Source organism: Homo sapiens, chromosome 18 (assembly GCF_000001405.40).
Source record: "Homo sapiens chromosome 18, GRCh38.p14 Primary Assembly".
Classification (NCBI taxonomy): domain Eukaryota; kingdom Metazoa; phylum Chordata; class Mammalia; order Primates; family Hominidae; genus Homo; species Homo sapiens.
In genome coordinates this window covers 44,305,187-44,319,967 of record NC_000018.10, presented here as the reverse complement: position 1 = coordinate 44,319,967, position 14,781 = coordinate 44,305,187, and positions in this window count along the sequence as shown.

Genomic DNA, 14,781 nt, shown 5'->3' with positions numbered 1-14,781 from the left:
AGAGTGAGAGAATACTGTATCACATGGCTTGATTAAACTTAGCCCTATATGCTTCCTAAGGGAAAAGAAAGGTAGCTGGATTAAACAGAGCAGTGGAAATTAGAGAGAACTTGACTTTAGCACTGAAACGTTTCACTGAATAAAATCTAATAAATATGAGAACGATGAAAGTTAACTTCTCCAGGAAAATAAAGATGGACTATTTAGTGTGAATTAAGACTCACTAGCAATGTCTTCTATTGGCAGTGTATATAAGAGTTGAAAGTACATTCACACAGATCCTCTCAATGTAATTCATGCAAGAACCAAGGGAAAGGTATAACACATATATCCTTATCTATATTATACAGATTTGCAGCCCAAGTCTCCAAGGTTCAGAGATATAAGTGATTTGGCATTAGGAAGTGACAACTAAGACTGGAAAATTGAACCCAGGCTTTCAGACTAAATGACAGTGCCATGTCACCCTATACTGTACAGTCAACTGAAGAGTCAGCCTGCCCACACAAAGGGGCTGTCAGTTGAAGGGGGAGAGTCAATTCATTCTCTATTGCACTGGAAATCAGGATGAGGACCAGTGAGTGGGATTTACAGGGAGGATGATTTTGCCTCAATTTGAGGAGGAACTTCCCAACAATTAGAGCTGTCTAACCAAGGAACAATATGCCTTGTCAAATAAATAAGCAACCTGTTACTGAAGGCATTTAAGCCTAAGCCTATAGACCACTTCTCAGGAATACTAGAGGAAAGATGACTTGAGGGACACATTTAACATCTAAGACTTTATTCAACCTAAAGATTCTGTAGATGATGTAGGATGACATTTGAAGATGATCTACTTGGAAAGATGCTTGTGGGCATTAGAAACAATATAAGGAAAATATTGTTATTGCACCTTGGACTTCAAAATCTTCAGGTTATATCTAAGCAATCCTGATGTGCTATGAAACGATGCAATTGATGTGCAACTCTGATATTTCTTGCAGAAGCTCCTTTTAGCTGGATTTTCAGTTCAACTGGTACATCCAGACTGGTTGAATGTGATGGGCTGGAGATCTACCTTCTAATATGTTTAAGATCTATTTCTTCTTATTGATGCTCCTGAAAACATTGCTATTTCTGAAATCATTAAGTGAGAATATTTCCTCTATTAAAATATCATCTCAAACTATGTTTTGCATTTCTTTTAGGGGCTTGAGAGTTCTCATAAGACATAGCAAAATAATTGAGAGTTTGGGGGGCAGGTAGGGAAAAATTAGGAAAATGTTTAAATCTGGGGTAGAATCAAATTTAAGAATTTCAGCCAGGCATGGTTGCTCACACCTGTAATCCCAGCACTTTGGGAGGCCAAGGCGGGTGGGCACTTTGGGATGCCAAGGTGGTGGATCACCTGAGGTCAGGAGTTCAGACCAGCTTGGCCAACATGGAGAAACCCTGTCTCCACTAAAAATACAAAAAAAAAAAATGTAGCCAGGAGTGGTGGTGCACACCTGTCATTCCAGCTACTCAGGAAGCTGAGGCAGGAGAATCGCCAGGAGACAGAGGTTGTAGTGTGTGGAGATTGTGCCACTGCACCCCAGCCTGGGTGACCGAGCGAGACTCTGTCTCAAAAAAAATTTGAGCATGGATTTAGTGCTAAAAGGGAATCCAGTTTGCCATCTGCCCACACGTGCATTTCTTACTTCCTTTCTTTTGCACTGCTGTGAAGCACAAACATTTCCTTATTCATCTTGTGCATTTCCAATGGCACAAATTAGTTTTCTAAGGAAAATTTTATGTCCTCAAGCAATTGTATTTCATATCTGAGAGTCAAATGTTTGAAGCTCTGCATGGGAGACCTCAGCGTGGCATTTAAGCACTTGTAGAGTCAACTAAACTTAGATTTTACCCTGAACCCAAGAACAGGGCAAGGTCATAAAACACTCAGAGACTCAATGCAGCACAAACAATTTTCGATCATGGCTAGGAGCTCATTCTCCACCTCATTTTTCCTCATATTTTGAGGAAAGAGAGAGTCACGTTTATGTTTGACTTTTGTCTAAGTACAAAGATGCTATATAGCAATAGTGCAATAATAATATTTTCCTTATATGGTTTCTAATGCCCACAAGCATCTTTCCAAGTAGATATGGTAATCTTCATATTTTATTTATTTATTTAAGTAACTCTAAGCTCCCATTAGTCACAAAAGATCAGGCCCAAACTAGAAATAAAAATAACTTTTCTGTTACTTCAAATGATAGGAGCTCCTATCATTTGTTGTTATTAATGACAACTTTTTAAAGAGAGCTAAACTGTGTGTGGGAAAGCATGCAGCTGAGCACCAGGTTCAACTAGACCTAGGAATTTAAAGTTGGCCAGTGTTGCTCATTCCCTCTCCATCTCTCAGCTTTTCATTCTCTGTGCCCAATTAGTACTGTTACCCTCTCACTAGAAAATGACTTTCAACATTTTAATTTCAGATACCAGTCACTTGTAATATTTTCAAATAACATGTATTTTAAATTAAATATGACTATATTATGGTTTTCATATGAAAAATTAATTTTAATTTAATATAAATTTTCAGTTTAAGGACTCTGTCAGCTTCTGTGTTTCTGCTGTTTTCATTTGGCAAAAACAATATTTATTTATATTTTCCAAAGTAGTTTTTGCTGAGTTATTACATTTTAACTAACATTTATTTACTCTTTAACTTTTTATCTTTTCCTTAAGTTTTTTCATTTTTAGTGTAGAGAGGTTGGTTTTTAAATTAATTTCTGATAAATTATGTTTTTGATGCTATTTGACATGGAATTCTGGTTATTTTCCAATTGTATTCTATTAGTACATAAAACTACAATTGATAGTTGTACTTTGACCTTGTATCCTGTGATGCAGCTGGAATTATGTATTAATTTAGCTTATTTAGTAATTAGATGTTTTGTACAGTGTTTAGGATTTTGTCCACTGACAATTTTTGGTGTTAGCTTTATGTTTACTTTTCAATTGTTAAGGCTTTTATTTTAAAAATAATTCTTGCTTTATTTCACTCTTTAGATCGAACATTGAATAGACCTGATGAGTGTGAGAATCCTTGACTTGTGTCCTACCTTAACAAAAAAGCATTCCGTGTTTCACCATTAAGAATGATGTTGGCTGCCAGTTTTTCATCAATACCCTTTTATCAGATTGATGAAGTTGCCTCTGTTCCAAGACTGCTGAAATGTTGTTGCATTTTATCATATTTTTTTGCATCTATTTAGATTATGATATATATTTTATTCTGTAAGATTGAATACATTGACTTTTTAAAAAATTTAAACCAATCTTACATTCATAGGATCACCCCCCACAAAGTATTTATTGCTTAATTTAATTTGCTAGTATTTTGCTGAGAATTATATGTATATTCTCATTAAGAATATTATTAATTTATATATTTTTAAAGTATTTTTCACTCTTTTTCAAGGCATTGTTTATTTCATAAAATGGAAAGTATTTTCTGTCTCTTCTGAAAACATTCTTATAAGAATGGTATTGTTGGCCAGGAGCGGTGGCTCACACCTATAATCCCGGCATTTTGGGAGGCCGAGGCAGGCAGATCACTTGAGGTCAGGAGTTTGAGACAAGCCTGGCCAACATGGTGAACCCCGTTCACTACTAAAAATACAAAAATTAACCAGGCATGGTGGTGCGCGCGAGGCAGGAAAATCACTTGAACCTGAGAGGAGGAGGTTGCAGTGAGCCAAGATTGTGCTATTTGCACTCCAGCCTAGGTAAGAGTAAGACTCTATCTCAAAAAAAAAAAAAAAAAAAAGAATGGTATTGTTTTTTATTAAAAGTTTGATATAATTTACCAATGACATAATGAAATAAGGAGTCTAGGCCGGGTGCGGTGGCTCACGCCTGTAATCCCAGCACTTTGGGAGGCCGAGGCGAGCGGATCACGAGGTCAGGAGATTGAGACCATCCTGGCTAACACGGTGAAACCCCGTCTCTACTAAAAATATGAAAAATTAGCTGGGTGTGGTGGCGGGCACCTGTAGTCCCAGATACTCAGGAGGCTGAGGCAGGACAATGGTGTGAACTCAAGAGGCGGAGCTTGCAGTGAGCCAAGATTGGGCCACTGCACTCCAGCCTGGGTGACAGAGCGAGACTCCGTCTGAAAAAAAAAAAAAAAAGAAAGAAATAAGAAGTCTAGAATTGTCTGAGAATATAACTTTTTCATGAGTATAGAGCTATTCATATTTTATGTTTTTTGTCTGTATGGCTTAGTTGAAGAAATGCATTAATTTCGTCTAAGTTGACCAATTAATGTCATAAAACGGCTCATAATATTTCCCTAGGATTTGCCTTTCAGATCTGTAGAGATACGTTATCTTCTACTCCAATATTTATCAGTATTATTAGGTGCTTATTAATCATATAAATCTTGTCAAACTACCAACTTCTGGATTTTTAAATGATTTTCTTTCCTATTTCACTAACTTTCACACATCTTTATTTCTCCCTGTTGCTTACTTTGGCTTTAATTTGCTCACCTTTTCTCTGTCATCTTAAGATATACACATACATAATTAATTCTAGAGTCGTCTTTTTTCCTAATGTTGGCATTTTGCTATAAACATCTCTTTAAGTACTACTTTAGTATGATCCTACAAATTACAATATGTCGTGAGATTCAATCATTCATTTAAAAATACTTTTTCACTGTAATTTCATCTTTGGCAGAGGTTATTTAGAAGTCTATTTTTTTTTAATTTCCAATATATGAAGCTTTTATTCATACGTGAAATTTTCATTGTTTTTAGGGAATCAACTCGGCCAGCCACGGTGGCTCAAGCCTGTAATCCCAGCACTTTGGGAGGCCGAGGTGGGCGGATGATGAGGTCAAGAGATGAGACCATCCTGGCCAACATGGTGAAACCCCATCTCTACTAAAAATACAAAAATTAGCCAGGCATGGTGGCACACGCCTGTAGTCTCAGCTATTCGGGAGGCTGAGGCAGGAGAATCGCTTGAACCCGGGAGGTGGAGGGGTTGCAGTGAGCCAAGATCCGCCACTGCACTCCAGACCGGCAACAGAATCAGACTCTGTCTCAAAAAAAAAAAAAAAAAAAAAAAAAACAACTCTTGAAATTTTTCTAGCGTTCTCCAGTATATGGTCTCTTTCAGTTAATGTTACATGTGCTTTTTTTTTTTTTTTTTTTCTGAGACAGGGTCTTGCTCTGTTGCCTAGGCTGGAGGGCAGTGGAAGGATCTCAGCACACTGCCACCTCCACTTCCCAGGTTCAAGTGATTCTCCCACCTCGGCCTCCCAAGTAGCTGGGATTACAGGTGTGCCACTACACCTGGCTAAATTTTGTATTTTTAATAGAGACAGGATTTTACCATGTTAGCTAGGCTTGTCTCCAAATCCTGGCCTCAAGTGATCTGACCGCCTCAGCCTCCCAAAGTGCTAGAATTACAGGCGTGAGCCACCATGCCCAGCCAATATGTGCTCTTAAAAAGGAGTTGTATTCTACACTAAGGTGTACTATTATATAAACGTAAAAACTTCTATCAAAGGGGTTGCTAGTGTTGTTCACATCATCATCTACTGATTTTTTTGGTGTAGATATAAGTAACTATAAGAGTCATGTCCTAATCTAACTGTGATTATAGATTTGTCTGTTTTCTTCTTTATTTCTGTTTTGCTTTATCTATTTTGAATCTCTGTTATTAGGCATATACCTTTCTATAATTGTGTGTTTGATGAAATGATCCTTCTAACATTTAGAAATATCACTTTTGCTTTTTGTTCACATACTAGCTTATATCTTGCTGTTAGAAATATAAACACTCCACTTTCATGTGCTTCAATCTGCATATAGTATAACTTCCTTTTACTTTCTTTCCCTTTGTTCAATTAATTTCTTTTTCAGTATATATTAACATTTTTATTAAATGTAATATACATATAGAAAAAAGTATCGTAATTCTTCAAACTGAAAAAACCCACACATAGCTTCCAAGTCAACACAAAAACATTATTATCACCCCTATAAGGGCTCTGTGAATTTGGTTCACATCATTATTTGTACCAGAGTAATGAATATCCTGACTTCTAATAGCATAAAAGACAGATTTTTCCCTATGTTGTCTTATTTTATATAAAATGAATCATGCCATGTATACTACTTGTATTATTTGTATGGTCTATAGTGTATGGTTTGTTAAACATAATTTGTGAGATTAATCCATATAGTTCTTTGCAGTTGTATACATTTATTCTAATTTCTGGATATTGTTACATTGTATAAATATGCAAAAATTATACCAATCCATTCTGCTGTTGTTGTGCTAATGGTATTGTGTTGAAGGGTATTTGGTAGTTTTAGTTATTGTTGTTGTTTTTGTTACTGTAAACAGTGGTTCTGTGAAAATTAGTATACTTATCTTTTAATGAACAGATGTCCATGGGTCTATTGGGTATACAGAAAAAAGTTGAATTGTGGTGCCATAGAAAATGCATATACTTAGTAGACTCTGTCAAAGAGTTTTCCAAAGTTGTACCAATTTACTCTCCTACCAGTTATGTATATTTCTGACTGTCCCATATCTTTACAAATACTGGGTATTGCATTTTTCATTTTAATCATTCTGTTCATCTATGAGGGGTATTTCATTTGTGATTTTGATTTGCATATTCTTGTAGACTAATAGAATTAAGCTACTTAAGTAACTTTTAATCTAATTGTTGGTCACTTGAATATCCCTTTTTGTGAATAATCTATTTAAGACCTTCCCCCCCATACTTTATTTGGTTGATATTTAAATCACCACATAAAACCCCTATATCAGTCTGTGTTCAAGCCTGTGATATTCACTGTGGCTCAATGTTCAAGTTCAAGCATAAAACTACATTATTATATCCTCTACTGTAGCGGTGTCTAAGCACATAATGTTGAAACATGTGTTTTATTTTAAGTAGCTTTCATTTTGTTTTTCCTTTGTATCTCAGGGTATCATATTGATATATTTTTTTAAATTATACTTTATGTTAAAATGGGCGAAGGATATGAACAGAAACTTCTCAAAAGAAGATGTTTATGTGGCCAACAAACATGTGAAAAAAAGCTCCTCATCACTGTTCATTGGAGAAATGGAAATCAAAACCATTCTTCTTTAAGATTGCTTTGTCTATTCTTGGCCTTTAAAATTCCATATGAATTGGAACCAAAAAAAAAGCCCGCATTGCCAAGTCAATCCTAAGCCAAAAGAACAAAGCTGGAGGCATCATGCTACCTGACTTCAAACTATACTACAAGGCTACAGTAACCAAAACAGCATGGTACTGGTACCAAAACAGAGATATAGACCAATGGAACAGAACAGAGCCCTCAGAAATAATGCTGCAAATCTACAACTATCTGATCTTTGACAAACCCGACAAAAACAAGCAATGGGGAAAGGATTCCCTGTTTAATAAACGGTGCTGGGAAAACTGGCTAGCCACATGTAGAAAGCTGAAACTGGATCCATTCCTTATACCTGATATCAAAATTAATTCAAGATGGATTAAAGACTTACATGTTAGACCTAAAACCATAAAAACCCTAGAAGAAAACCTAGGCAATACCATTCAGGACATAGGCATGGGCAAGGACTTCATGTCTAAAACACCAAAAGCAATGGCAACAAAAGCCAAAATTGACAAATGGGATCTAATTAAACTAAAGAGCTTCTGCACAGCAAAAGAAACCACCATCAGAGTGAATAGGCAACCTGCAGAATGGGAGAAAATTTTTGCAACCTACTCATCTGACAAAGGGCTAATATCCAGAATCTACAATGAACTCAAACACATTTACAAGAAAAAAACAAACAACCCCATCAGAAAGTGGGCGAAGGATGTGAACAGACACTTCTCAAAAGAAGACATTTATGCAGCCAAAAAACACATGAAAAAATGCTCATCATCACTGGCCATCAGAGAAATGCAAATCAAAACCACAGTGAGATACCATCTCACTCCAGTTAGAATGGTGATCATTAAAAAGTCAGGAAACAACAGGTGCTGGAGAGGATGTGGAGAAATAGGAACACTTTCACACTGTTGGTGGGACTGTAAACTCATTCAACCTTTGTGGAAGTCGGTGTGGCGATTCCTCAGGGATCTAGAACTAGAAATACCATTTGACCCAGCCATCCCATTACTGGGTATATAACCAAAGGACTATAAATCATGCTGCTGTAAAGACACACACACACGTATGTTTATTGCGGCACTATTCACAATAGCAAAGACTTGGAACCAACCCAAATGTCCAACAATGATACTCTGGATTAAGAAAATGTGGCACATATACACCATGGAATATTATGCAGCCATAAAAAATGATGAGTTCATGTCCTTTGTAGGGACACGGATGAAGCTGGAAACATCATTCTCAGCAAACTATCGCAAGAACAAAAAACCAAACACTGCATGTTCTCACTCATAGGTGGGAATTGAACAATGAGAACACATGGACACAGGAAGGGGAACATCACACACCGGGGACTGTTGTGGGGTGAAGGGAGGGGGGAGGGATAGCATTAGGAGATATACCTAATGCTAAATGATGAGTTACTGGGTGCAGCACACCAGCATGGCACATGTATACATATGTAACAAACATGCACATTGTGCACATGTACCCTAAAACTTAAAGTATAATAAAAAAAAATTCCATATGAATTTTAGAAACAGCTTATTAATTTCTCTGGTACCCCCCCAAATTTCTAAGTTTTAAAAAATTATTGTATTGAGATTATGTTGAAGTTATAAATCAATTTATCATGTTAAATCATCCAATAAATGAATATGGTATTTATCTATTTATTGTCATCTTTGATTTAGGCATTAATATTGTGTCATTTTCAGAATAAAACATTGCTTTTTTCTGTTACAATAAAAATAAATTTTATTAAAGTTATTTTTCTCTTTGTTGCTGATATATAGAATAAAATTCCTCTTTTTATCTAGTAACCTTGATAAATTCAATTATTTAATTGAATAATTTTCTGTAGATTATTGTGAATTTTTTACATGCACATTTATCTTGTCTAAAATTACTGACATTTTCTATTTCTTTCTTTGCAATAATTACAACTTTTTGGTTGTTTTTCTTGTTTCATTGACCTGGTTAGAAACTCTTAAAGTACTGAATAAAAGGGGTAATTTTCACTCATGTTTCATTCCCAGTCTTAGGAGGAAAGCTATCAAAAGTTTATCATTAAAGATGTCTCTCTACAAAACAACTAGCTAATAACTCTATGACAGGAATAAACCTCACATATCAACATTAACCTTGAACATAAATGGCCTAAATTCTCCACTGAAAAAAAATATAGACTAAGAAACTGGATGAAAAAGAAAAGTCAATCTTCTGCTCCCTACAAGATATTATGCAGGCTTAAGGTAAAGGAGTGAAAGAAGATATATTAAACTGAAAACAAAAGTCTGCAGAATTGGCCATTTTTAGATCAGGTAAAACACTCTAAACCAACAACAGTAAAAGAAGACAAAGAACAGCATCATATAATGATAAAACGTTTAGCACAACAAGATTTAAATGTCCTAAACATATATCCATCCAACATCAAACACCCAGATTCATAAAACAAATACTGCTAGACATAAGAAAAGGGATTAAGAGCAATATATTAATAGTGGGGGATTTCAATGCCCCATTGTCAACACTAAACAGGTCATTAAGTTCAGATAGTCAACAAAGACACTCTAAACATAAAATAGATTCTAGACCAAATAGACTTAATAGACATTTCTAGAACATTCTACCTAACAACTGCAGAATATACAATTTTCTCTTCTGCACATGGAAAATTCTCCACTATTGACTATATGCTTGACCATAAAGCAAGTCTCAATAAACTAAAAACATGCAAAAAATCATATCAAGAATTTTCTTGGAACACGGTGAGAAGGCAATACCCAGAGGAGCTCTCAAAACTACAGAAATACATGGAAAGTAAATAACTTACTTCTGAATGACTTTTGTGTAAAAAGGAAAAATTTTAAGGCATAAGCAAGAAAATCCTTGAAATGAAAGAAAATAGAGACATAACATACCAAAAACTCTGGGATAAAGAAAAAGTAGTACTGAGGAAAGTTCATAGTGTTAAATGCCTACATCAAAAAGATAAAAAAAAATTGAATTAACAACCTAAAATCACATCAAAAGAAACTAGAAATGCAAGAAATTTTCAAACCTAAATCTGGCAGAATAGAAGAAACAGCAAAGATTAAAGCATAACTAAGTGAGATTGAGGCCAAAAAATCTATACAAATAATCAAAAGCCCCAAATTTTGTTTTTGAAAGGATAAACAAGATTGAGAGGCTACTAGCTAGTTTCAACAAGAAAAAAGAAGATTCAAACAGGCATAATCAGGAAAGAAAAAAAGTGACATTACAACAGATATTACTGAAATACCAAAGATTTTTTGAGATTACCGTGAACATTTCTGTGTGCACAAACTAGAAAACCCAGAGGAAGTGGATAAATTCCTGGAACATACAATTTCCCAAGATTGAACAAGGAAGAAATAGAAATCCTGAACAAACAATAATGAGTAATGAAATTGAATCAGTAATAAAACATTTTTAAACAAAAATAAGCTCATGGCAAGACTGAGTCACAGCTGTATTTTACTAAATGTACAAAGAAGGGATGGCACCAATCTTATTGAAACTATTCTAAAAAACTGAGGAGAAGCGATTTCTCCCTAACTCATTCTATGAAACCATTATTATCAGAATACCAAAATCAGGCAAGGACATAACAACAACAAAATCTTACAAGCCAATATTCCTGATGAACATAGATGCAAAAATCTTTGAAAGAATACTAGCAAACCAAATCCAACAGCACACCAAAAAGATAATTCATTGTAACCAAGTAGATTTTATTCCAGGGATGCAAGGATGTTTCAATTTTTGCAAATCAATAAATGTGAGTCATCACAAAAAAGAATTAAAAGCAAAAACCATATGATAGTTTTGATAGATGCAGAAAAATCATTCAATAAAATCTAACATCACTTCATGATAAAACCCCTTTACAAACTATGCATTGAAGGAACATACCTCAAAGTAATAAGAGCCATATATCACAAACTCACAACTAAGATCATATGGAAAGGGGAAAAGTTGAAAGCATTCCCCCTGAGAACTGAAACAAGACAAGGATATCTACTTTCACTACTCCTATTCAACACAGTATTAAAAGTCAGCCAGAGCAATCATGCAAGATAAATAAATAAAGGGCATCCAAATTGGGAAAGAGGAAGTCAAATTATCTCTGTTTGCTGATCACATAATCTTATCCCTAAAAAATTCTAAAAACCCTTCCAACAGACTGCTAGACTTGATAAACAATTTCAGCAAAGTTTCAGGATAGAAAATCAACGTACAAAAATGGCTAGCATTTCTATACACCAATAATATTTAGGCTGAAAACCAAATCAAGAACTCAATCCTCTTTACAATAGCCATAAAAAGATTGAAATGCCCAGGAATACATTTAACCAATTAGATAAAAGTCCTCTACAAGAACTACAAAATACTGATGAAAGAAATAGATGACACAAAAAATAAAAGAAAATCTCATGCTCATATATTGGAAGCATTCATATAATTAAAATGACCATACTGCCTGAAGCAATCTACAGATTCAACACAATTTCAATAAAATTACCAATGTCATTCTTCTTCACAGAATTAGAAAAAATAATTCCAAATTTCATATTGATTGAAAAAAGAGCCTGAATATTACAATTAATTCTAAGCAAAAATAAGAAAGCCAAATGCATCACATTACTTAACTTCAAATTATGCTACAAAGCTGTAGTAACTAAAACAGCATAGTACCAGTACAAAAATAGACACATAAATCAATGGAACAGAGTAGAGAACGTAGAAATAAAGTCACATACCTAAAACCAACTGATCTGACAAATTTGGAAAAAGTAAACAATGGGAAAAGGACACCCTATTCAGTAAATGATGCTGGGGAAATTGGCTAGCTATATACAATAATGCAAAAGAGTGAATCTGAACCCCTATCTCTTGCCACACAGGAAAATCAACTCAAGATGGATTAAAGACTTAAATGTAATACCTGAAAGTATTAAAGTCCTAGAAAAAACCCTATAAAAAAACTTTTCTGGATATTGGCCTAAGCTAAGAATTTATAACCAAGACCCCCAAAGCAAATGCAACTAAAATAAAAATAGGAAAATGGGCTTAATTAAACTACAAAGCTTCTGCACAGCAAAAGAATCAATGGAGTAAAGAGACAACCTACAGAATGGGAGAAAATATTTGCAAATTATGTTTCTGAAAAAGAATATTTGGAATCTACAATTAACTCAACTCAACAAGAAAAAAATAAACAATCCCTTTAAAAAGTGGGCAAATGACATAAACAGGCACTTCTCAAAAGAATACAAGGGGTCAAAAAACAAAAAATGTTCAATATCACTAATCATCATAGAAATACAAATGAAAACTACAATGAGATATCATCTTATGCCAGTCAGAATGGTTATTAGTAAAAAGTCAAAAATCAACTGAGGTTCATGTTGACACAGACCAAAGGGAACCCTTGACACTGTAGGTGAGTATATAAATTATTACAACCTCTGTTGAAAACAATATGGAGATTTCTCAAGGAACTAAAGATAGAATCACTATTCTACCCAGCAATCTCACTACTGGGCGTCTATCCAAAGGAAAAGAAATCAGTATATTAAAAAGTTGCCTGCACTTAAATGTTTATCACAGCACTTTGCACAATAGAAAAGTCATGGAATCAACTTAAGTGGCCATCAACAATTGATTCAATCAGGAAAATGTGGTGTATAGATAGATAGATATAGGTATATATAGATATATAGATATATACAGGTATATATGTATATCTATATATCTATGTATATAGATACATAGATATTCGCTGGGCGCGGTGGCTCATGCCTGTAATCCCAGCATTTCGAGAGGCCGAGGCGGGCGGATCACCTGAGGTCGGGAGTTTGAGACTAGCCTGGCCAACATGGAGAAACCCCGTCTCTACTAAAAAATACAAAATTAGCCGGGCATGGTGGCACATGCCTGTAATCCCAGCATTTCGAGAGGCCGAGGCGGGCGGATCACCTGAGGTCGGGAGTTTGAGACTAGCCTGGCCAACATGGAGAAACCCCGTCTCTACTAAAAAATACAAAATTAGCCGGGCATGGTGGCACATGCCTGTAATCCCAGCTCCTAGGGAGGATAAGGCAGGAGAATCACTTGAACCTGGGAGGTGGAGGTTGTGGTGAGCTGAGATTGCACCATTGCACTCCAGCCTGGGCAACAAGAGTGAAACTCTGCCTCAAAAAAATATATATATATATAGATATCATGGAATATTCTGTAGACATAAAAAAGTAAGGAATCGTGTCCTTTGCAGCAACATGAAGGAGCTGGTGGCCATTATCCTATGAAAAATTACTCAGAAACAGAAAATCAAATACAGTATATTCTCACTTATAACTGGGAGCTGAATAATAGTTCCATACAGACATAAAGATGGAAATAATAGGTACTGGGGACTCCAGAAGTGGAGAGGATGGAAAGGAGGGTGAGAGTTAAAACGATTATCAATTGGATACAATGTTCACTGTTTGGGTGATGAGTATACTAGAGGCTCCAGCCTCACCTTTATGTAATATATTCATGTAACAAACCTGAACATGTACCCTCCTGAATGTAAAAATAAATAAATATGATGTCTCTGGTAGATTTTATAAATATTTTTCATCAGCTAATTAAATTTCTTAAATTTTTAGTTTGCTGAAATTTTTTAAAAATCATGAATAGGTATTTAGCTAAATAATTTTTTGTTGACTCTATAGAGATACTCATATAATTATTCTTTTTTTATTAATGTGTGAATAACTTTAACTTTTTTAAATATTTTAAGTTCTAGGGTACATGTGCACAACGTGCAGGTCTGTTACATATGTATACATGTGCCATGTTGGTGTGCTGCACCCAGTAACTCGTCATTTACATTAGGTATATCTCCTAATGCTATCCCTGACCCCCTCCGCCCACCCCATGACAGGCCCCCATGTGTGATGTACCCCACCCTGTGTCCAAGTGTTCTCATTGTTCAATTCCTCCCTATGAGTGAGAACATGCAGTGTTTGGGTTTTTGTCCTTGCAATAGTTTGCTGAGAATGACGGTTTGCAACTTCACCCATGTCCCTCCAAAGACATGAACTCATCATTTTTTATGGCTGCATAGTATTCCATGGTGTATGTGTGCCACATTTTCTTAATCCGATCTATCATTGATGGAAATTTGAGTTGGTTCCAAGTCTTCGCTATTGTGAATAGTGCGGCAGTAAACATACGTGTGCATGTGTCTTTACAGCAGCATGATTTATAATCCTTTGGGTATATACCCATTAATGGGATGGCTGGGTCAAATGGTATTTCTAGTTCTAGATCCTTGAGAAATCGCCACACTTTCTTCCACAATGGTTGAACTAGTTTACAGTCCCACCAACAGTGTAAAAGTTTTCCTATTTCTCCACATCCTCTCCAGCACCTGTTGTTTCCTGACATTTTAATGATCACAATTCTAACTGGTGTGAGATGGTATCTCATTGCGGTTTTGATTTGCATTTCTCTGATGGTCAGTGATGATGAGCAGTTTTTCATCTGTCTGTTGGCTGCATAAATGTCTTCTTTTGAGAAGTGTCTGTTC